This window comes from Homo sapiens, chromosome 4, assembly GCF_000001405.40.
Source record: "Homo sapiens chromosome 4, GRCh38.p14 Primary Assembly".
Taxonomy (NCBI): Eukaryota; Metazoa; Chordata; class Mammalia; order Primates; family Hominidae; genus Homo; species Homo sapiens.
In genome coordinates, this window is record NC_000004.12 from 27,037,844 (window position 1) to 27,061,743 (window position 23,900).

At 42.8% G+C, this 23,900-nt stretch overlaps 1 annotated feature.

The window, feature by feature from the left end:
* Nucleotides 21,039-22,238: an enhancer, noted in NCBI's record as "P300/CBP strongly-dependent group 1 enhancer chr4:27060504-27061703 (GRCh37/hg19 assembly coordinates)". NCBI's record gives its function as "activates an origin of replication core promoter dependent on BRD2, BRD4, P300/CBP, MED14 and CDK7 cofactors, with strong dependence on P300/CBP, by STARR-seq in HCT116 cells {active_cell/tissue: HCT116}" and the evidence as "EXISTENCE:reporter gene assay evidence [ECO:0000049][PMID:35650434]".

The window sequence follows — 23,900 nt, forward strand, 5'->3', positions numbered from 1 at the left end:
GTTGACTTTCTGTCTTGATGACCTGCCTAGTGCTGTCAGTGGAGTATTGAAATTCCCCACTATTATTGTGTGTCAATCTATCTCATTTCTTAGGTCTAGTAGTAAATGTTTTATAAATTTGGGAGCTCCAGTATTTGGTGCATATATATTTAGGATTGTGATCTTTGCCTGTTGGACTAGTCCTTTTATCATTATATAATGTCCCTCTTTGAGTTTTTTTAGCTGTTGTTGCTTTAAAGTCTGTTTTTGTCTGTTATGAGAATAGCTACTCTTGCTTGCTTTTGGTGTCCATTTGCATGGAATATCTTTTTCCACCTTTACCCTGAAGGTTATATTTACCTTAAGTTTATGTGAGTCCTTGTGTGTTAGGTGAGTTTCTGGAAGACAGCAGATACTTGTGAATTTCTGTGAATTCTTATCCATTCTGCCATTCTACATCAGTATTGAGATGTGAGATGCTATTCTGTTCATATTACTAGTTGTTGCCCAAATACCTTGGTTTTTTTTTTTCCATTGAGCTATTGTTTTATAGGCCCTGTGGGATTTATGCCTTATGGAAGTTCTATTTTGGTATATTTTGAGACTTTGTTTCAAGACTTAGAGCTCCTTTTAGCAGTTCTTGTAGTGCTAGCTTGGTAGTGGTGAATTCTCTCAGCACTTGTTTGTCTGAAAAAGACTTTATCTTTCCCTTATTTATGAAACTTAGTTTCACTGGATACAGGATGATTCGGTGACAATGGTTTTGTTTAAAGATGCTAAAGATAGGACCCTACTCTCTCCTAGCTTGTAGGGTTTCTGCTGAGAAATCTGCCGTTAATCTGATAATCCTTTATAGATTACCTGATGCTTTTGCCTCACAGCTCTTAAGATTCTTTCCTTTGTCTTGACTTTAGATAATCTGATGACTATATGTCTAGGTGATGATCTTTTTGCAATGAATTACCCAGAGGTTCTTTGAGCTTATTCTATTTGGATGTCTAGCTGTCTAGTAAGGCCAGGGAAGTTTTCCTCAACCATTCCCTCAAATAAGTTTTCTAGACTTTTAGATTTTTCGTCTTTGTCAGGAACACCAATTATTCTTAGATTTGGTTATTTAACATAATCCCAAACTTCTTGGAGGCTTTGTTCGTTTCTTTTGATTCTTTTCTCTTTGTCTTTGTCAGATTGGTTAATTTGAAAGACTTGTCTTTGAGCTCTGAAGTTCTTTCTTCTACTTGTTCAATTCTATTGTTGAAACTTTGCGGTGTATTTTGCATTTTTCTGTGTTTCTTTGTTTCCAGAAATTGTGATTGTTTTCTATTGGTGCTATTTATTTCTCTGGAGATTGTCCTGGTCCATATTCTGTATTATTTAAAAAATTTATTTAAATTGGTTTTCACCTTTCTCTGATTCCTCTTTGAATAGCTTAATAATCGAACTTAGGAATTCTTTTTCTTGCAACTCAGAAATTTCTTGATTTGGATCCATTGCTCATGAGCTAGTCTGATCTTTTAGGGGTGTTAAAAACCTTTCTTCATCATATTACCAGATTTGTTTTTCTGCTTCCTTCTTATTTGGGTAGACTATGTCAGAGGAAAGATCTGGTGTTCAAGGGCTGCTGTTCAGATTCTTTTGTCCCATTGGGTGGTCCCTTGATGTGGCCCTCTCCCCCTTCCACTAGGGCTGGGGCTTCCTGAGAACCAGACTACAGTGATTGTTATTGCTTTTCTGGGTCTACCACACAGCAGAGCTATAGGGCTCTGGGTTGGTACTGGACAGTGTCTGTAAAGAGTTCTGTAATGTGATTCATCTTCAAGTTTTTCAGCGGTGGATATTAGCATTTGCTCTGGTGGAGGTAGCAGGGGAGTGAAGTGGACTCTCTGAGGGTCCTTGGTTGTAGTTTTGTTTCGTGCACTGGTTTTCTCAAATGCTGGTTGTGGTAGCATTTGGTTGGCCTCCAGCCAGGAGGTTTTGCTGTCTTTTTCTTTTTTCTTGAAATGGAGTCTCGCTCTGTTGCCCAGGCTGGAGTGCAGTGGCGTGATCTTGGCTCACTGCAAGCTCCGCCTCCTGGGTTCATGCCATTCTCCTGCCTCAGCCTCCCAAGTACCTGGGACCACAGGTGCCCACCACCACGCCCGGCTAATTTTTTGTTATTTTAGTAGAGACGGGGTTTCACCGTGTTAGCCAGGATGGTCTCGATCTCCTGACCTCGTGATCCGCCTGCCTCGGCCTCCCAAAGTTCTGGGATTACAGGCGTGAGCCACCGTGCCCAGCCAGGTTTTGCTTTCAAGAGAGCATCAGCTGATACAGGCTTGCCCTAAGTTCACCTGGATAGGTATTCAGGTTTCTCAGGTAATGGGCGGGGCCATAGAAATCACAAAAGATTATGTCTTTTGTCTTCAGCTACTACAGCAGGTAGAGAAAAACCATCAAGTGGGAGCAGGGATAAGCGAGCCTGAGCTTCAACTTCCCTTGGGTGGGGCTTGCTGTGGCCACTATGGGAGATGGGGGAATGGTTCTCAGGCCAACGGAATTATATTCCCAGAAGGATTACGGCTGCCTTTGCTGGGTCATACAGGTCGCCAGGGAAGTGGGGGAAAACCAGCAGTGATAGGCCTCACCCAGTTCCCACACAGCCAGTAAGGCTAGTCTCACTCTCGCCACCAGCACCAAATTTATATCCAGGCAGCGGCCGAGCAGGGCTGAGATCTTGCACCAACCTACAAGCCTCCCCACTGAGAATGCAGGCAGGGCTTTCAGGCCCCACCCTTCCCCACTTGTTTCTGTGCTCATATCTGTACTTCCTGTTTGCTGCCCTGGAAGGTTCTGCCCAGGAAGGTTCATGCTCATGAAATTATTACAAAATTCATCTGGAAGTTTCCTTCCGCCTATGGCCCTTCCTCAGTTCTACTGGCAGCCCTCCCCAAGGACCCCTGTGAGACAAAGTCAGAAATGGCTTCCCTGGGGACTGGGAGTGCCCACAGGGCTCTTCTCACTGCTTCTTCTACCTTTATATTTCACTGGGCTCTCTAAGTTTATTTCAGCTCTAGGTAAGGTTAAATCCTTCTCTGGTGATCTGGATTTTCAGGTCCTCTAGTGAAGATGTGTGTTTGGAGGCAGCCTTCCCCTTTTCACACTTTGGGCACTCACAGTTTTATGTCTATCTTAGGGAGCTTGCAGCAGCAAGCCGCTTCCTTCAAAGGGTCTGTGAATTATTTTGGTTTTCCTGGTATGTTCCTGCAGTAGTTCTTGGAGTAAAAGTTCACAATGTGAGTCTCCACACACTGTTCCATCTGTCCAAGTGGGGGCTGATAGTCCTGCCTCCTAGCTGCAGTTTTTCTCCTTTGTTGGATACTTTTTCTAACAGCCATCCTCTGTGATCATAAATAATCCCTGAATATTATCCTTGATCTCAAAAGCTGTTTTTATTTTATTTTGTCCTGTTAGTTAACAATGCAGCAAGACGTGTTAATTAGTATATGTAAATTTCCTTGAACTATGATCATAGTGCCATATAGTGTTAAGCAACTAATAAGGCCAAAAAATTAACCTCTGTCATAAGAACTAACAGGGAATCTAGTGTTGTGTTTTCAACAGGCTATATTATTCCAGAGAACTTTGTATCACTCATTTGTGCTCATGTCCTGAAGCTAGGAAACCAACCCCAAGAAATTAATTTCTACCAGTGTTGCTTAGAGTGCCTGTAAATATTGATGAATTTATTTTCTCGACCTCTTCCTCCTCCCACTTCCAATCTGCTAAGGTACTTAGTCTGCTAGGAAGTCATTCTCTCCTCTAATTAAATATCCAGAACTCCAAAAGCCATAGAATAGACCAATCTCCCGGGAGGGCTTTGTGAGCCTTGGTTCCACATATGAAACACAACTCCTTTTATCAATGGGGACTTGCCATACCTGCTTAAATAAGATTTATTCTAATATAACACTTCAAGGCTTTGGTTATACAATTGATTTTTTTCCTGACTTTATCTTGATTAACGACAACAACAACAAGAGCTTCTTATTGGCTCCTTGCAAATGCTACCCTGTTCTTAAAGGAAAAGAAACTTAAAACTATTTGTCCCTGAATTTTGAGGTGTCAGTGAGAATAAAACACAATTTTAATAATATTTCATTTTAGCATGGGAAAGCATAGTCTAAAACAGGGGTCAGCAAACTTTTTTTTTTCTTTTATTATTATACTTTAAGTTTTAGGGTACATGTGCACAATTTGCAGGTTAGTTACATATGTATACATGTGCCACGCTGGTGCGCTGCACCCACTAACTTGTCATCTAGCATTAGGTATATCTCCCAATGCTATCCCTCCCCCCTCCCCCCACCCCACAACAGTCCCCAGAGTGTGATGTTCCCCTTCCTGTGTCCATGTGATCTCATTGTTAGGGCCAGATAATAAAAGTTTTCAGTTTTTTGTTTTTTTTTTTTTTGAGACGGAGTCTTGCTCTGTCTCCAGGCTGGAGTGCAGTGGTGCAATCTTGGCTCACTGCAACCTCTGCCTCCTGTGTTCAAGCGATTCTCCTGCCTCAGCCTCCTGGGTTCAAGCGATTCTCCTGCCTCAGCCTCCTGAGTAGCTGGGACTACTGGCATGTGCCACCACAATGTTTTCAGTTTTGCAGGCCATGAGTGTCTGATGTAAGATTTATGCTCAAATCCGCCATTGTAACGTGAAAGCAGCCATAGACAGTATATCAAAAGGGGGCATATCTGGATTTTGCCTGTCATAGGCTGCATTTGACCTGTAGTGAGCTGGATTTAGCCCATGGACCATAGTTCAATGACCCTTAGTTTAAAGGCTAGGGATAGGTCAAGAAGAAAGAAAAAGGGCTTCACTGTATGCCTATAATAAACTAGAATATTAAAAATAATGTTAATACACAATAAGTAAATTAAAAATATCACAACCACAATTATATTCATTTTATCAGTTCATTCAGTCTCATGTAATTATTATTTGCACTGGCTCTAGAGACTACATTCTGCTTTTACAAAGTTGCTGCTTCCGTACTCAAACAGAGCCCTAAAAATCCTGACTCCCTTGCTACAATCTGTAGTTGTTTAAGTGGTATCTGCTTGGAAGTCTGTACTCATTTAAGTAATGAGTCTATTAAAGTATTGGTGGGTAAAAGTACCTCGTCCTTTTCATTGAGGTTCTGAGGATGTCTGTCTGTTCAAAGACTACTTTTTAGCTTGTAGCTTGTAGCAGAACCTTCAGGGAAGTATGAGAGAAAAGCCAGAAGTTGATGACAGGACTCAATGGTGGGGGGACTCTTTTTTATTACAGTAATTGATCATACTGGAATGGAAGAGAGCAAAATCATTTACAAAGATGCAATGAATAACCATTTTATAAGATTTGAATCACTATGTCCCCTGAGGGTAAGGACATACTACAGACAGTGAGAACACTGACAACTCTTTGGGACATTCCTAAAATGTAAAACCTCAGAGAAAAAAATTAAGCCAGAGAAGGCTGAGCTCTCTTCCACTGGACAACTCTCCCCATTTAGCTCTCAGGTAGCTCTCATCTTTGTGTTTACCCTGATCCAGTCCTTCACCCTTTTCTCTTATCAACTGTGTGTTTTCCCTGTGAACTTTTACCCCTTGATGCAATATCAAGTGTCCTGTACTAACAGTTTGTATTTTTATACATCCCACCCATTCCTTATAATCTGCCCCCTATACAGCTCCACTCGTAGGTTTCAGAGTCACTAAAACACAACCTGTTCAAAGCATAACATATAGGGACTTCCATTTCTGGCTCTGATAAGCGTAACTGATCTGCCACAAGCAAATATAAAACAGGTCAATAAATATGAGGAAGTTAGTTTCACGCACTGAAAAACAAGTAACGTGAGACCATATTCCTTGAGAGAAGTGAACCACACAGTCACTGCAGCTTTCTGTCTGGTGCAGTTTATGGACTTTAGTGCAGGTAAGGAGGATATGGGTTTCTTACGGGTCCTTCACTCAGGGCTAGGAGGCAGATACACCGAGTGAGGCTTCATGAGGCTTAGCAGAGAGTGGCTTTTGATTGGCTAGGGGTTGTATGGTACTGTGAGACATTGGAGTTTTGGACAAACCAGATGGAATGTTTTCAGTGAATGCTTCAAACCTCATAAAGGCCACGTGCTAGGAGTAGGATCATGTTCTAGGGCACAGGTCAGAAAACTGTGGCCAAATCTGGCTTCTGGGCTTGATTTGTGCACCCCACAATCCAAGAATAATTCTGCATTTTAGAAGCAGCAGCATCAGGAGAAGGTGAAGGAAGAGGAGGAGTGGGGAAAGGAGAGGAAGAAGGAAAATGAGACAGAGACCATATTTGACTCACAAAGGCCAAAATATTTACTACCTGGTCCTATGCACACAATATTTGCCAACTCCTGCAATAATGTCCTGGACTAGGAATAAATGTAAAACAGAACCACCCTGAAAAAGGAATAAAACCAAGCCAGAGTAGGGGAACTTGGCACCAACTGACTGCTTTGCAGAACAAAACTAACATTCTTTAAAGAAGACAACATAATCTAGACTCTTCATAATGTATCACACCTAATGCCCAGCATACAATAAAAAATTTCTAGACATATAAGAAGTTAGAATTATGTTACTCATGATCAAGGGAACAAAACCCAGTTAATGGGAATAGAGTTTTATATGTTGTAAAGACTAAACTGAACTATAGAGTTCAGATGTTGTAAAGACTAAAATTTTAAGATTGCCATTACAAATATGTTCAGAGGTAAAAAGGAAAACATGGCCACAATAAGTGAACAGGTGGAAAACCTCAAATGGAAAACCTCAATAGAGCAATGAGCCTTATAAAAAGAAACAAATGAAAATTCTATAACCGAAAGGTATGCTGTTAGAAATGAAGACTTTACTGGAGGGGTTTGACAGCAGATTGGAGACTTCACAAGAAAAGGTACAGTGAACTTGAAGAGAAATCAATAAAAATTATCCCATCTGAAGAAGAAAGAGAAAAAAGTGGAAAGATGAAAACAATGAACAGAGACTTAGTGATCATGTGAGATTATTAAGTTGTCTAACATCCACATAATTGGGATTCAAGAAAAGGAGAAGGGAGGGAATGGGCAGAAAAAATATTTGAGAAAATAATACCTGAAAATTCCCAAAATTGGGTAGTAAAAAATTAATATTCATCCAAGACGCTCAGTAAATCCCAAACAAGATAAGTACAAAGAGAACTCCACTTAGAAAATCTTAAAAGAAGCCAAAGAAAAAAAGACCCAACACAGGAGAACAAAGATGCATATGACAAATGCCTTCTACTGGGAAGTAATGAGGGCCAGAAGACATATAAGAACTTCTTAAACTCATTGAAAGAAGAAGGAAAACTGTCAGCAAAGACAGGTGTTTTCATGCTAACTTTATCCAGCATGAATATCCTTCAAAAATTAGAATAAAATAGATTTTCAGATCCATTTTTAAAAAGCTGAAAAGATATGTTGCCAGCAGATCTACACTATGAGAAATGCTAACGGAAGTTCTTTAGCCTCCAAATAAATGACATTAGATGAAAACTCAGACCTACGGAAGTAAAGCAAAGACCAGAAATTTTAAATACATGGATAAATATAAAAAATACTGTTTTGTTCTCAATTTCTTTTTTTCTTTATCTTTTTAAAAATTGAGATCAATTGGAAGATGAAAAGTTATTTTATCCAGGGTCTTGTTATGTTGGCCAGGCTGGTCTTGAACTTCTGGCCTCAAGTGATCCTCCTGCCTTGGCCTCCCAAAGTGCTGGGATTAAAGGAATGAGCCACTGTGTCCAACCTTACTTCTCAACTTCTTTAAGAAACATGTAACACTTTGAAGCAAAGGTAATATTGCATTTCGAAATTTACAATATATGTTGAACAAAATATGACAATAGCTCAGGGGACAAAAATGAAACTATACTCTTGAAAGCACCTTGCACTTCACATGAAGTGGAATATTACTCTGTAGTGTGTAATAAGGTAAGGGTGAATGTTCTACTCACTAGAGTAGCTGCTATAAAAAATAAGACATAGCTAAAACCTCAATGGAAGACACAGAATATTAAAAATCTGGTTAATTCAAAAGAAAACAAGCAAGGAGAGATGGAGGAACAAGAACAAACAAAAAAGAATGGAAAGGCTGTGCGCGGTGGCTCATGTCTGTAATCCCAGCACTTTGGGAGGCTGGGAGTTCGAGACCAGCCTGGCCAACATGGTGAAACCCTGCCTCTACTAAAAATACAAAAACTAGCCAGGTGTGGTGGCACGTGCCTGTAATCCCAGCGACTTCGGAAGCTAAGGCAGGAGAATTGCTTAAACCTGGGGGGCGGAGGTTGCAGTGAGCTGAGATTACGCCACTGCACTCCAGCCTGGGTGACCGAACAAGACTCCATCTCAGAAAAAAGAAAAAAAAAAACAACTGGAAAAACACAAAACAAATAGCAAGATAATACAATTAAACCCAGTCATATTAATAATTACTTAAAGTGAACTGCCTAAACTCTTTATTCAAGAGGCAGAGAACTTCTGACCGAATAAAAATGTAAGACCCACAGTGTGTTGCCCATAAATGATGAAATGTAAGTATAAATACACATGTCAAAAAGGAGGGGGAAATTATGTATTACAAAATAGTAGGCATAAGAAAGCTGGTATGCTTATATCAATTTCACACAAAGTAGCCTTCAAGACAAAGATTGTTACTACATATAAAGAGGGACATTTCATATTGAGGAAAGGGTTAATTTACCAACAAAGCACACACATCCTAAATATGTTTATATAAGAAGTACATGATAACAGAGCTTCAAAATGCATGAAACAAAAGCTCATGCAATTAAGGCAAGAACCAGACAAATCCACAATTGCAAGAGTACATTTCAACACTCCTTTTTCATACATTGAAACAATGGAACAAGGAAGAGAAGGGCGAGTTGGGAAGCTGCACCTGCCTCACCTCTCTGACTGCTCATGCCCGTGAACCTTTCCCTCCCGATCTCTCCCATACACGTATTTGAAATGTCCTTCCTTAATCTGTTTATCAGAAGTATGTGGAATCAGATACAAAAGTTGTGATACTCATGTCATGGTTTTCTTTGTTCTGTGACAGTTATAACCCCTCAATTATTTAACCAAGAGGGAAAACGAGCTGGAGCACCTCAGTGCAAATTAGCTGAGAGTGCAAATCAATGGCAACCTCTCAACTTGCTTGGCACTGTGTTCCCTACCTGCAAAAATTTATTTACTCAATAGAGGCACATACAGAGCCTGGCATCACTTTGTACACATTTTTTTCTCTAAGTCTCTTTTGGTTATTTGACATTGTGGCCACTATTAGTTATGATTTTTTTTCCTGGTTCAATGATGTGATTATTTGAAAACATCAGAACAACAGCCCCTGTCTTCTTTGGCAATTTCTGTCTTTGACTTTATTTTAGTGCTTTCTTCTCCTTTCTTTCTCTCCCATTGTGTCTTCCATTAACTGGTGATGAACTCCTGGGGGAGATTTCTCAGGTGTAACCAGGGTAGAGAAAGGACTGGCCTAACCTACTGATGAATCAGCGTGTGAGTGGGGAAACCACTTACTGCATTTGCAGATAGATGGTGCACAGGCCGGGCATGGTGGCTCACGCCTGTAATCCCAGCACTTTGGGAGGCCGAGGTGGGCGCATCACCTGAGGTCAGGAGTTCGAGACCAGCCTGGCCAATGTGATGAAACCCCGTCTCTACTAAAAATACAAAAATTAGCCAGGTGTGCTGGCACGCGCCTGTAATCCCAACTGCTCGGGAGATTGAGTCAGGAGAATCACTTGAACCTGGGAGGCAGAGGTTGCAGTGAGCCAAGATCGCACCCTTGGACTCCAGCCTGGGTGACAAGAGTGAAACTCCATCTCAAAATAAATAACTAAATAAGTAATAATAATAATAATAATAATAATAATAATAATAATAATAAAAGACGGTGCACGGTTTCATTAAGCCTTACACTGCACAGCTGTATAAATTACAGAGGGCAGGACAGCTAAATCCAATGCTGTGTTCGAATCTTGTCTAGACTGGCATTTCAGTGTGGCACATAAGCACTTGACACATTTCTAAGCTGGTAACAGCCCCCTGGGTTCTCTCTTCCTTTCTCATTTGGTCAGTATTCACTGGCAATATTTTTTCTTCTATCCCAAAGATCACAAACTGGCTGTCACAAACTGGCTGTCTTTGAGCCAAAGCTGGTCCTCAGACATGTTTTATTCAGACCGCACAGCTAAATTTTTTAGAAGTTGCCAAATTAAAATATCTGGAGATTTCACACACATGTACACATTTTCAGCTTTCCTTAAACAAACAAACAACCAAAAACACGCAAAAAAAGGAAGGGCAATACTAAGACTGGGCTGCACATGCATTCAGGCTCTTGGCGGGCCTCGTGGAGATCTGAGTTTGCCCCTCTTTTTCTGGTTAACATGCCCCTCCTCAACGTCTCCGACGCCTCAGAGTTCAGGGATGTGAAGAAAAATTTTGAGATCTCTCATCTAAAGATTGCATTATTTGGAACTGTGAGTCTCCCTTCCCCATCGTTATCACATATACCAGCCAGCAAACCCTTTTATTACGCTGCTGATTTTACAACTGGGAAGACGGCAATCAGAAAAATAAAAAAGGGCTGTGGTTTCTCCCAGTTTCCTCTAGATGGCAGTATTGTATTGGTATTATTTCCAATACTCCCGATCCCAGCTGCTTTCAAAATGTTAATTATATAATTTTTCAGTGGGAATAATCTTTGTTTCTAAATTTATTACAGTATTTTTTCAATAATGTCAAATTTATCAGTAAGCAGGTAGAGTCCACAAAGCTGCAGTTTTAAGAGAACAGAACGACCGACTTTTTACCCCTCCTTGGAACTTCCCGAGTTAATGAGTAGAAACAGAACATATTGCAACGTATAATTGTCACGATTATGCGGGCTGTTCATTTAGCGTTTTCGTGTGCACATGCATTCAGCTGCCACATCTGCAGTGCACGTTGGAAAAATAGCCCCTTCTCTGTGCAGTTGGAAACATCGACTGTTTCTCATTTGGAGCAATTTCTTTATTTTGTTTTGTGGATAATGAATGTTACCCACAAATATGGGAAGCAAGGAAGCAGAAACACAGTTTGTATTACGAGGAGGCTCTTAGAGATATCCACATACACAAGTAGACAAATGTGAGCTGCGTGTCGGCCTCATACAAAAACAAAGCAGGTACTGTGAAAGGGAAGTTGTGTGTGTTAATGAGATTAATGGTTTCAGAACAAATCCGTTTCAGAGCAGCTAATTAAATATTTCGTTTTGAGTTATTTGGTGTAATTTTCTTTGGTACTCGACAAATACTAAGTATTTAATTTTATCTTCCAGCACAACCCATTAATATTTCACTGGTTGAATTCTTTGCTGTGGTGCTTTGGGTTTTGAAACACCTTTTGAGTACTGGTTAATCCACTTGACAGCCGAAGGTGAACAGGGACTCTGCAGTTCTCTGTTATGAAAGCCTGGTCAATTTCATCTTGGCCCCATCTAAGTAGGAGTTAAGTTTTGTGTTTTTATCACCTTGGTTCCATCCTAAAACGTTAGAGTTGGAAAAGCTCCACAAGGACCTCTCCCAGCCAGGGTTCAAGTGTTACAGTTGCTGCATAAACTTGCTCAGGGATGGGAATGTTGTGGTTGGCATTGTGTCAACGTAAAGATGGCCCCACTGAGGGGTAGGGCTAACCGTTGGGCCATTTTTCCCCATGGTGAGCCCAGCTCAGCGCAGCGGTGGGAAATGCAGTCAGGGAGGGGAACAGGGCTGTTCACGCAGAGGTCTGTGGGAAATTCTGAGGAGCTGATGTCCTTCTCAGCACAGCCCTCCAGGCAGGTGCTATGATTTCCTCAGAAATGGCACATGAGAGGAAACCTCTCTGCCTCGACTTAACCCAGGTGCAAAGTCTGCCATGACCTGGCCCTTCTATTATGAGAAAGACAGCCTTACTTCTACTGAACCCTGACTCCTTGTAGGTAAGTGCACATGATAGCAATAATTTAAGTGTACCCTGAGAAGGACTCTGTATGGCAGATGCACCTGAATGTGAGTTCTGGGCTAGGGAATCCAGGAGTGGCGAACTCGGAGATTTGTTCCATGTCTATCAGGAACATCTGAGCCCCTGGCCCACGCCATGGAACACGGGGATTCAGGCCCTGAGTTTTGGGTTGAGTGAGGATTGCCAGGTGGAGGTTGTTAGGGAGAAGGTGTTAAGTAGAAATGCTACGTGAACTGCGGGCTTTTTGCAAGGAGCTGTGGTTTTCCTGCCTAGCCGCCACCACTTTACTGTAGGGAAGGCCGATATCTTGCCCAGCCCACGGCCACTGGGCCCTCTCCCCTGTATGTAAGCCTCCAGTAAAATCTCATGGGCTGGGTGCGGTGGCTCACGCATGTAATCCCAGCACTTTGGGAGGCAGAGGCAGGCAGATCACTTGAGGTCAGGAGTTCGAGACCAGCCTTGCTAACATGGTAAAACTCCATCTCTACAAAAATACAAAAATTAGCTGGGCATGGTGGTGCACGCTTGTAATCCCAGCTACTCAGGAGGCTGCAGCAGGAGAATTGCTTGAACCTAGGAGGTGGAGGCTTCAGTGAGCCGAGAGGGCACCACTTGCTCCAGCCTGGGCAACAGAGGGAGATTCTGTCTCAAAAAACCCCCCCAAAATCTCATGTTTTGTTTGCTGGCGCTGGGTCTCCTCTCCAGCCTCTTGAATCTGGTACCTTCCCCACTAGAGTCAATAGGGTTTCAGTGCGACACTCCTCTCTACCCCTAAGTTAAATGCCCTGAATCTTAGATGGTTTTCCCATTGTTCCACTATGGCCATACCCCACTTCCCACAGCCTATATGGACTCTGGCCTGTGGTTCCAGTTGGGCGACACTCATATTAGATGTCTAGAAAAATCTCATTAAGTAACCTTTGCTCTCAGTCATCTCCCCTGTTAGCAAGAGCAGCCCAACATGGAGAAGCAGCCCAATCTTGTCACAGAGTCTCCTCCCTCACCCCTGACCAGGGATCATGCTGACCCATCCACACTGTTCCTGGCCCTTCCAGACGCCCTTCTCACCTCCTCCCCACCACCCTCCCCCTTCTGCATCCTTCAGGACCCATGTCGAATCTGTGTGTCTCTCACCAAGCCTACCTGGACACACCTCTGTCTCCATGACAGAATTTCTCCTCCCACTCAGTGCCTCCAGTGCCCAGCTCCACCCCATTAGCAATCATTCCAAAGATTTCCCTGATAGGCATGGGGCCTGGTGATCTTTTTGTCCAGGTTTTCATAGGCCTCAGCTCCAGGTAAATGGATTCTGAATTCAAGCAAATAAATATCCACATTCTTCTCTTTTTTTTTTTTTTTTTTTGAGACACAGTCTCACTTTATTGCCCAGGCTGGTGTGCAGTGGCGGGATCTCAGCTCAGTGCAACCTCCGCCTCTTGGGTTCAAGTGATTCTTATGCCTCAGCCTCCCAAGTAGCTGGGACTATAGGCACGTGCCACCACGCCTGGCTGATTTTTGTATTTTTAGTAGAGATGGTGTTTCACCATGTTGGCTAGGGTGGTGGAGCATTTAAAATTCTGACAATCTTTCTAGTTACAAGAAAAATTTGAAGACAAGTCACCTTTTATACATAGCATGTATTTTCAACACTATAGCCTTTGGCTAATGAGAACTTGTTATGGGAAGCACCAGATCTTTATTTCCACCTGGGGACAATCTCCTCTCACCTCAGGTCTGGAGGCCCCATGTGAAATCAAGCTCTCTTGTCAAAGTGCTCGCTGTGTAATCGGCAGAATTTGCAAAAGTTGAATGGCTGGAGGGAGCAGGACGGGAAGAACTGGGCTGAGAGGTAGGTCAGTGGAGAGACGTCCTGTGTTTAGACTTACATAGGTATTTTCTGAGAAGATAAAAGAGGCCATTCAGTTAGAGGGAATAGTATACGTAAGACGTGGAATTTGAAACAGCTGTCTAGGTACACCCTTTGCTTCTAGGCTCAGCTACGTTCCTGCCTTTTTCAGAAAGCTTTCCCAGATCATCTCAGGCCACAGTGACTTTCACTGTTGTTAACTGTCTTGTTCTTTTATTTTGAGACAGAGTCGCTCTGTCACCCAGGCTGGAGTGCAGTGGTGCGATCTCGGCTCACTGCAACCTCTGCCTCCCAGGTTCACGTGATTCTCCTGTCTCAGCCTCCCAAGTAGCTGGGATTACAAATGTGCACCACCATGGACGGCTACTTTTTGTGTTTTTAGTAGAGATGAGGTTTCACCATTTAGCTAGCCTGGTCTCGAACTCCTGACCTCAAGTGATCCTCCTGCCTTGCCTCTCAAAGTCCTGGGATCACAGGCTGAGCCACCGCGCCCAGCCTACTTGTCTCATTCTTACCGAGTGAGACACAGGATAGGAGACAGGAGGGCCGTGGAGACTGGTTGCCTCCTCCATATCTGGCCCAGGCCCTGGGATTGTGCTTAAGCACTGCTCAGAGCCTGAGATCCTGAGGTCCTGTGGGGGGAATCCAGGATGAGTGCAATAAGCATTTCCAGGTTGCCAGCTTCTTATAGATTCTGCAGCAAAGGAAAAGATGTTTCTTCTGAAAATGTAAAAGGTGAAAAAAAGTGCTCAAGTTTCTCTTGGTGGAAACAAAGGGGAGTTTGCTCAAATATTATTTTGCCTTTTCGGCATGTAAAGTGTCGTTGTTCTGCAGAATGGGGTTTTTAATATTTGATAAGATGTTGAGAACACCGCATGGCGTCAACTCTGAATTGTTGGGCTCGGTTCAAAGGCTTGTATAAATATTTCTAAAGGAGAGCCATATTAAAGAGTCCGGTTTCCCCGTTTTGTGCTTTAACTTTATTTACACATAAATCTTGAGAAGAATTCTTCTTTTTCAACTTCACGTTCCTCCCAACTCTAATGCCGGCTTTTTTTATGGACGAGAAATCTGGCCGATTTGTATTCCTCCAGTATCTACAACAATAAAACCACTCTCGTTACTGAATAAAATTTAAAAACTATCTCCCAATTGTGCAGTTGGGTTGGATGAAATCTATTATGTTTGCCCTACTACACTGTGATACGTGACAGAAAGGGGGCTTTTGGGGTCCCAGGGGATTTTGACACCCCAAATGCTAAGTAGAGCTGCAACGATGTAAGGATCTCTTATTATTATGGAAAATGTGGAGGTCGCCGAACTGAGGTGGGCACACACCCTTAATGTGACCAGGCTTGTGTTAGCTCAGATTAGTCATACCATGCCTTCAATGCAGAAGGTCACAGAGGTCCAAATTTGCAGAGAAAAAGCGTATTTCTTCATTTATGAATATCTTTAAAGAAAATGTTTCTGATCTGTGCACATGTGCGTGTATCAGAAAGCATGCATTCTGTGTGTGTGTATGTGTGTGTGTGAAGCCCACTCATCTTACCAACAGGGCTATCCTTATTGTGGTTCACACTGCTGAGCGTGTGTATTGCACATGTGAGTATATCTGTAATTTGTGTGTCTGTGTCTCCCTGGTCATATATAAGTACAGCTCTGTGGATGAACAGCTGCTGATTCTTGCTTTTTCTGCTGCTCTCTTTAGAACTGGAAGGTGGTCACCTCCCCACCCCACCACTGGAAGGTGGACACCTCTCCCTCACCACTGAAATGTGGTCACCTTCCTCCAACTGGAAGGTCGCCTTCTAGTGACCTTGTGCTTTGTCTTGCTATCTCACCACTTTTCCTGATTCCTGCTTGGTGAGGGAATGTGTTAAGCTAGGGCTGACTTAGAGTTCGAACATGTTTTCTATCCCCGGAGCCATTACTGTTCTGAATTAAGCCCCAAGACATTGCCACGTGGGGGCAATTAATAATCATCTCTTTTTGATTGCCCAAAGTGTATTTGATTCAAAATAAAATTCAGGTGAAGGTACATTTCTTCCCCTAAGAGCAGGGAATTATAGCAATACTGTTGTGCTGAGCAGGGCTCAGAATGGGTAGATATTTGAAGATTTGCTTCTGGTTTTTCTCCAGCCAGTTACAGGGAAGGGCTGGTGGATAATTTAGGTGCTGGCTAGTCCTTCTCTGGTACTTTTGTGGCTTAGGCACCTGGTTGGTGACTTAGACCAAGAACCTCCCTGCTGAAGATGCAAAAACATTCTTCATGGTGTAAGAAGTGGAGTCGAAAAAGATGTTAAATTTATTACTCTCTTATTGTTTTCCCCAAATAGTCTTATTTGCTCATAAGGGAAGATGTTTTTCAACTTGGTTCATGAAATGGGTGGTCTTTGAAAAATCAGACTCAGTAGATAACTGCTGTCTTATATTGGGTCACTTAATTCTTAACAAGTCATTAACACACCAAATTTGGGAAGAATTCTTGAAAGAGAACATTGGTAGAGAGCTGGCATTTCTGTTTGCTTCTTACAGGATCTCCTTTTTAATGCTTCATTTCCAAATGGGTCAGAAAAAAATGGAGTCGTCTCCAAAAGGTATATGTGTTAATTCATTATCCACTAGTTGCTGTTTCTCAGGTGTCTGCCAAACTTTGCACTCTATGTGGTACATATTTTAGAAACTTACATATACACTAACGTTGGCGGTCACCCGGGGATCCAGCCAAAGCCAGCAAATCCTTCGGCAGTGTCACATGTTCATCCTCTCATGGGTTCTTTGGTTCCACATTTATGTCCCCTTTTGGTAGCAATTTGTTTTATCATCATCCATCAATTACTTTTGTCCCTTGGAACATAGAGTAAGTTTCTTATGTGGCCAATGTCTGGAAGATTTTCTTCTAAAATAGGGTTGTGTATGATTTGATGAATGCTTTGTAAATATTTGAAATTATAGGATTGGGTTATAAACAAATGACTGGTTCTAACTCCCTGGTGAATGTGCATATGCAAATCAGCTATGATTCCCGCCCTGCCCCCACTCCAAGGCTGTGCTTTTATTTCTATCTCTGTTACCTTATAGTCAATATAGATTCTTCTTCCCTTTAAATTATTCATCATCAATGTAAAGGACCAGTTGTCACTAACTTTTATACAAAGCAGCCTCTAACCTTAGTCAAATATAGCTGGATAAGCAACCTGCGGTGGGAACACAGAGGAAGAAGTTGCAAGGGGGATAAAACAGAATTAACATTTACTGGCTACCAACTCTGTTCCAAGTGCTTTATGTAGGTTGTTTCATTTCTTGTTCACAATGTTATCAGATGCAAGCGGTGAAACTCAGAAGTTAAGTCTTTTACCGAGGGCTGTGTGGTCGCAGAGACGAGATTCAAACCAGTAAAATATAGCTTTGGAATATGATCGAGAGGATTTAGCAGGTGAAGGCAGATGGGAGGGACAAGGATGGGCTGAAGATGATAAATTTGAGCCAGTAATGAGCCATTAGTTAAAACACGTGTAAGGACATACTTCCACCTCTCACACACAGACATGCAAGATTAATCTCAGGACCCAGGAACAAAAAAAGCAGTGTTGTGGCTCACAGTGAGGGAAAGTAAGAAAAGATGCTGGTGTAGTCCCGTGGGAATCTCACCATGTGAGCCAACAGCTGCCAGCTGCAGGCCAGTCCTCAGGCACAATGATACACTTGTCCCCTGGCCCTCTAGTGCCCCTGTCTGCCTGAGATCCCCTTTTACAACACGCCATGATCTGGACCCATGGTGGACTCTACTCTTCTAACTCCTGTTCCACCATCATTGTCTTCTTCCTTTGAGACCTGGGGCATTTGGGTCTACCAGGAAGCCTTAATTAGATTGCTTCCTAGACAGTTCTGATTTGCACCCTAAGCTTCTGGGAGTGGGAATCATAAGGTACCCAGGCAGAGCCTGACACTGGGCCTGGCACACAGACCTGAAGAGAGAGAGAGAAAAGGAATTCATTGAATGTTTCATTCCAGGCCGCAGGCTTTGGATCCATCCTCCAAGAGCCCCAGAACCAGGCCTTCAGCAAAGTATGTGCTCAATAAACATTTGATGAAAGAGGGAATGAATGAAGGACAGATGAAGTTCCGTCAGTCTGCACAACCCGAACCGCATCGAATCAAGAGTGTTTCTCCAAGTTCTAAACGTTGCAGAATTTTCTTCCCTCGAGTTGACCCTGAAAGTGACCATGTGCAAGAAGAGCTCCTTACCAGCTCCTGGATTTTTGTGTCCTCTGAAGTGCCTATTCTCATTCACCAGGGGTAGCTGCAGCTGGTTTTGTGCAACTCAGAAGGCTGGCCCTGGCTCTCATTACCTGACCATGGGGATATTAGTTAAAACACAGGTTTTAACTAGACCCCACAGTGTCTAAGTTTTCGATGGGCTTTGTAGCTATTTCGACGTGACAGGTTCTCCCTTCCCTTTACAAAAATAAACCCACTAAGATTGGTTTGGTTTGTATGTGTGGAAAAACACACATTTAGGGAAGAACTCCTTTCGGAAACAGATTGGAAACGGTGACTGAAAGTGATCGCGCAGGCTCCTCCGTGGTCAGGGGCTTTCCCTGAGAATTTGTTCAGCTGCTAAGGGAAGTGGACCCCGGGAGAGCTGCGTGCTGGGGTAAGTGCATTCTGTTCAGAAAAGACAGTCTGCATGTATCTCCTAACTGGATTTTGCTGTGAAAATACGCGGCCCTGGTGGGGACAACACATGCTTCCCTCCTCCTTTCTGAGTCCTGCTTTCGCGTGCGGTGGGCAGCGGCACCCTGTTTCAGCTTGGTGAGTGCATATTCTCCCCGAGTAAGTGACGTCTCTGTGAACAAAATGCAAGATAAGTGCAATTAGAACCAGCTCTTCTTGGACACCCGAACACTAAATTTTCAAATCAACACTAAACCCAAAAGCGGAATAGTAAAAATGAAGCCCCCACCCCACCCCCGGCCCCCCCATGAAATGAAACAGCAAAATCCTCATGGTTGATTCAGTAAACACAGACTTTCCTGAAATGGCCGGAACCCAGCTCCGAGGAATTCCGCTGCCACTGTGAGAGAGGCACCCAAAATGACGAGTGAGGTCTACGGAGCTGGGAGGGTGTCCAGTGAGTTTGACAACACAGTGACCTTGGGCAGACGGTTAATGTCATTTTGTTTTCATTTACCCACTTCACACATCCGTTAAAGATGCGTAATAACCCATCCTCATCTCATGTGGGGGCTGAGGATTAATTAATAAGTGATTCTAAATTACTTGGCTCTCCTCGGAGGAAACGCATTCCATAAGTGCAAAGAATTGTTATTATCGAGCAATTCAGCTAGCTCGGAAGCAATAATGACTTTAGGGAGGCTGTTGAACACATGCTGTGGTCTTTCCAGGCTGGAAACCAAAGGTTAAGGTACTATAGGGCACTTTATTTCCCGCTCCGCCCCGCTATAAAACAAGGCATTCTCCCCCACACAACGTCTACCCCGCTGATGACATTCCATCCTCTCAGTGATTAAAATAGACCTCTTCCTTGATTCAGACTGGAAATTCACAATGGGGCTGAGTGGTATTTCACAGAGATGATTCCCAGAGCAACTGGCCCACAAGATGCCCCAAACCAAAAGGGCTTTGTGGCTACCTAAGTTGTGGGGACCCTACACATTACGCCTTCTTCTTGGAGACTGATCATCTACTTCCTTGTATTAAAGTCCTGCAAGGGGCTTGAAAAACATGTTGAACTTTATTTGCCTTACTCTTTCCCAAAATGTTTGCGAAAGTCGCCATGATTCCACTCTGTGAATGCCGCCCCATTGGAATGTGGGTTTGTGGCTTCTCTCTTCAGGAGCAGAGTCTGTTTCTCTGTCCTCTGAAGTGGAGTGGGCCCTGTGACTCACTTTGTGCAGTAGAATATGGCAAAAATGACATGATAGCAATTCTGAGCCCGGCCCTCAAAAGATTTGGCAGCTTTTGTTTACACCCTTGGAACTCTGCCAGCTTCTATGGGAGCAAGCCTGGGTAATCTTCTGGAAGATGAGAGAAATGTGGCCCAGTATCCCCACTGTCCCGGCCACCAGACGTGCACCCTGAGAAATGGAGCCACCTGACTTATTGGAAGCCGACCACAGACACACAAGAAGGACCAGCTGAGCACAGCCCAAATTGCTGACCTTGAGAACTGTGAGCCAAGTAAACAGTTGTTGCTTTAGGCACTAATTTTTGAGTGGTTTCTTACGCAGCCATAGATTAATGATACAATGGTGGCGGCCATTTTAAAAATTCCCTTTAATAGTCCCAGATCTATACATTGGGATAATAAATTGGTGATGCATATATTATTTACTAATACCATTGGCTGTGGTCAGCTCAATACCATTACTGCGTCTTTGTCCACTCTCTTCTGCATTGCAAGGAAGAATCAGGGACTACTTAAATGCCCCCCAGTTCTTTTTTTTATTATACTTTAAATTTTAGGGTACATGTGCACAATGTGCAGGTTTGTTACATATGTATACATGTGCCATGTTGGTGTGCTGCACCCATTAACTCGTCATTTAATGCTATCCCTCCCCCCTCCCCCCACCCCACAACAGGCCCCGGTGTGTGATGTTCCCCTTCCTGTGTCCATGTGTTCTCATTGTTCAATTCCCACCTATGAGTGAGAACATGTGGTGTTTGTTTTTTTGTCCTTGCGATAGTTTGCTGAGAATGATGGTTTCCAGCTTGGTTTTGGGTTATATTCAGCCAATCAGAGGCACTGGAATGAGGTCTGGAAAGTGGAAGAACAGGTGAAGCTATATCATCCTTCAGGGTTACTGTCAGCAGAAGTGTGGGATCATCATGGGGTTTGCAGCAGCTTCTGGGTGAGCCTGCAGGAATCACTCACCGAACAATACCTGAAAGTGATCGCAAAGGCTCATCTGTAGCCAGTAGCTTTCCCTGAGAATTTGTTCAGGGAAGGAGAGCTGAGTGTTGGTTTAAGTGCATTCTGTTTAGAAAAGCAAATCTGCATTTATCTTCTAATTGGATGTTGCTGTGAAAATACACCTCCCTGGTGGTGACACCAGGGACTGCCTACTGCTTCTCCACGGCTCTGGCACTTCATGGGTTCAGGAACTCAAGCAGTTGCTTCGCTGGCCTCTGCTTCCCCAGGCCTTCCAAAGGGTGTGAAAGCCTCTGGTAGAAAAGACTTCCAATTACATCAGAAATTAGAATGCCATGACTGTTATAATACAGGACCTTCTGGGGTCTAGCGGGCCTCTGTGATTGATGGCCCTGCAGAACCAGTTGGGGGCTCAGCCTTGCTACTTTTTAGCTCAGTGACCTATGGAAATTCCCAGATCTCTTGCATCATTTTTACATATGATTTTCCTCACGTGTGAAATGGGGATGGCAATTCTTTCCCCACAGTGGTTGTCATGAGGAATAGATGAGGTCCATGTCTGCAGTGTTTGTAACACATCCTCACTCTCTAAATAGCAGGCAGTTGTCTATTAGCTCAGGCACGTCTGAATTTTCAGTGAATGGGGTCTAAGTGATTGAGTTGTGCTCTTTCAGGTGGCCCCACTTTGCTCTCTTCACCTTCCTGTCAAATATGACACATTAGCACATCTCAGGAAATATCAGTAACCTTCTGAAAGACTCTCATTTCTGATCTCTGCATCTCATGTATGGCTTGCTCCTGTTGCAAAGATTGTTTTCTAATAAGCAAAAACATTTTACTCAGGTGAATTTGAACACAATCGCTGTGGTATTTCCCAGGGAGCTGTCTTTGAAATCAACAAGCAAATCAAAATGTTTCATTCACCTGCAAAGATCCCAATAGGATTGCATGAGAACTCAAAGGCAAGGAGGGCAGGGTGGGACAGGAACGAGCAAAATAATCATCTGTTTTCCCTTGTACAGTCATCGCTGTTTCCGCGTTGGGAAAGTCCCATGAGGAATCAAGACAGTATTTAAAATGAAAAATCAAAAAATTTTATGTAGTATCTTGATATTCTTCTCAGTTTGCTATTTACTCACTTGGGAGAGGTGTGGGGTGCTGGGCTTCTTGAACTTTCTTTTCTGGCAGGAAACCTCGACTGCAACCCAGAGAAACCAATCTTTTCAGAGATGTTGATGTGTGGTCCGAATCCACAGGCTGAAAGCATGACATTGATTTGATCTTAATGCATATTAATTTTTCCTATACATAATATAGTCATATTTATTTTAATATGGAAACAGTATTTCTGCCTTCATCTTCATACATTACTGATGTTCCGGGAAGATGTGTGTATCAGGTTTATTCCTTGTGTGGTAATACTGTTAAGAGAATAGACTCAGGACTCAGATGGACATGGGTTAGAAATCTGGCTTCATTATTTTATAGCATGTGACCTGGGGAAAATAAATTAATTTATCTGAGCCTGTTTTCTCATCTGAAAAAAAAAACCCAACAAGATAGCAATATTTCTCTGGCATGGGTGTTGTGAAGATGAGAATTACTTGAGATAATGTATGTAAAGTGCCTAACAAAGTAACTGGTAACATGCACATAAGAATTAGCGGCTATTACTTTTATGCTTACTTATTCTTAGAAGGAGGAAAGTGAAGAAATATTTTTAATCTTCTTGATTACTCTAGTCTTAATCATGGCTGAGATCTTAAAATTGGACATTATGAAACTTCTACAATTCCAGGGTCGTTGTTGTGGGGTTGAGCAAGGACCCTGGAAGAGAGAAGAAAATATATATATTTGTAAAGAATGGACTCTATTTGAGCAGTGGCTTTGATTTTCTTCAGTTAATTCTTTCCAGTGATCTGATTCTGAAAGACTGGCTTGCTAATATTTTTATGTGGATCTAAATGTTTACTCAAATAATCATGTGCTTAGAACTGCGGAGGATTTATTGTGCATTGCTATGGCTACCTGTATTCATTTATTTCATCTTATCAGCTTGATTTATTTGTCTGAGCAGATAGATTTTAGACATCCAAAACGCTTTTTCAAGTAAATACCATAGGATAAAATTAGAAGATAATAACCAAGGTTTTTCTTGCTGGCTTTTTTTTTTTTTTTTTTGGCCCCCAAACTATTCATTGTTTCTATGGGAAGAGTGAGATGAAGGGAGCATTAAGATGTCACCAGAATGGGCTATGCGCAGTGGTTCCTGCCTGTAATCTCAACATTTTGGGAGGCTGAGGCTGGCCAATTGCTTGAGCTCCTGAGTTCGAGACCAACCTGGGCAACATGGTGAAGCCCCGTCTCTATAAAAAAAAAAAAAAAAAATTAGCCAGCATGGTAATGCTCGCCTGTAGTCCCAGCTACTTGGGAGGCTGAGGTGAGAGGATGGTTTGAGCCTGGGAGGTAGAGGCTGCAGCAATCTGACATCACGCCACAGGACTCCAGCCAGGGTGATAGAGACAGACTTTGACTCAAAAAAAAAAAGAAAAAAAAAAGATGCTCCCAAATGGTTTTCAAACAGGTTTCTGAATGGAGTTTTAGAGATCATGGTAGACACAATTGTCTTGATAGCCTAGGGTTTTTTGGAAAAGGTGTTTTGAGGCCAGAGTTTGTCATGAGCCTAAGAGTGCTGGGATGTGGTGGTTTTAAGACCATGTCCACACATTCTTTGATACTCCTCCCTTTTAGAAGTGGAGCTCGATTCCCCTTCCTTTGAGTGTGGACTGGACTTCCGACTTTCTTGTAACAAAGAGAACATGGCAGAAGGGACAGGACATCACATCAAAAGCAGAGTATTAAAAGACTGTGGCTTTTGTCTTGGGAGCTGTTTCTCTCTCTGGGGGAAGCCAGCTTCTGTGTCACGAGGCAGCCCTGTGGAGAGAAGATGTGAGTGAGTTTGGAAGCAGACCTTTTGAGACTTGCTGGTAGTCCTGAAAGCAGATGCTCACCCAGTGGAGCCTTGAGATGATGGTGGCAGAGTCAAAAACAGATTGACACACTCTCATGAGAGACAATGAGCC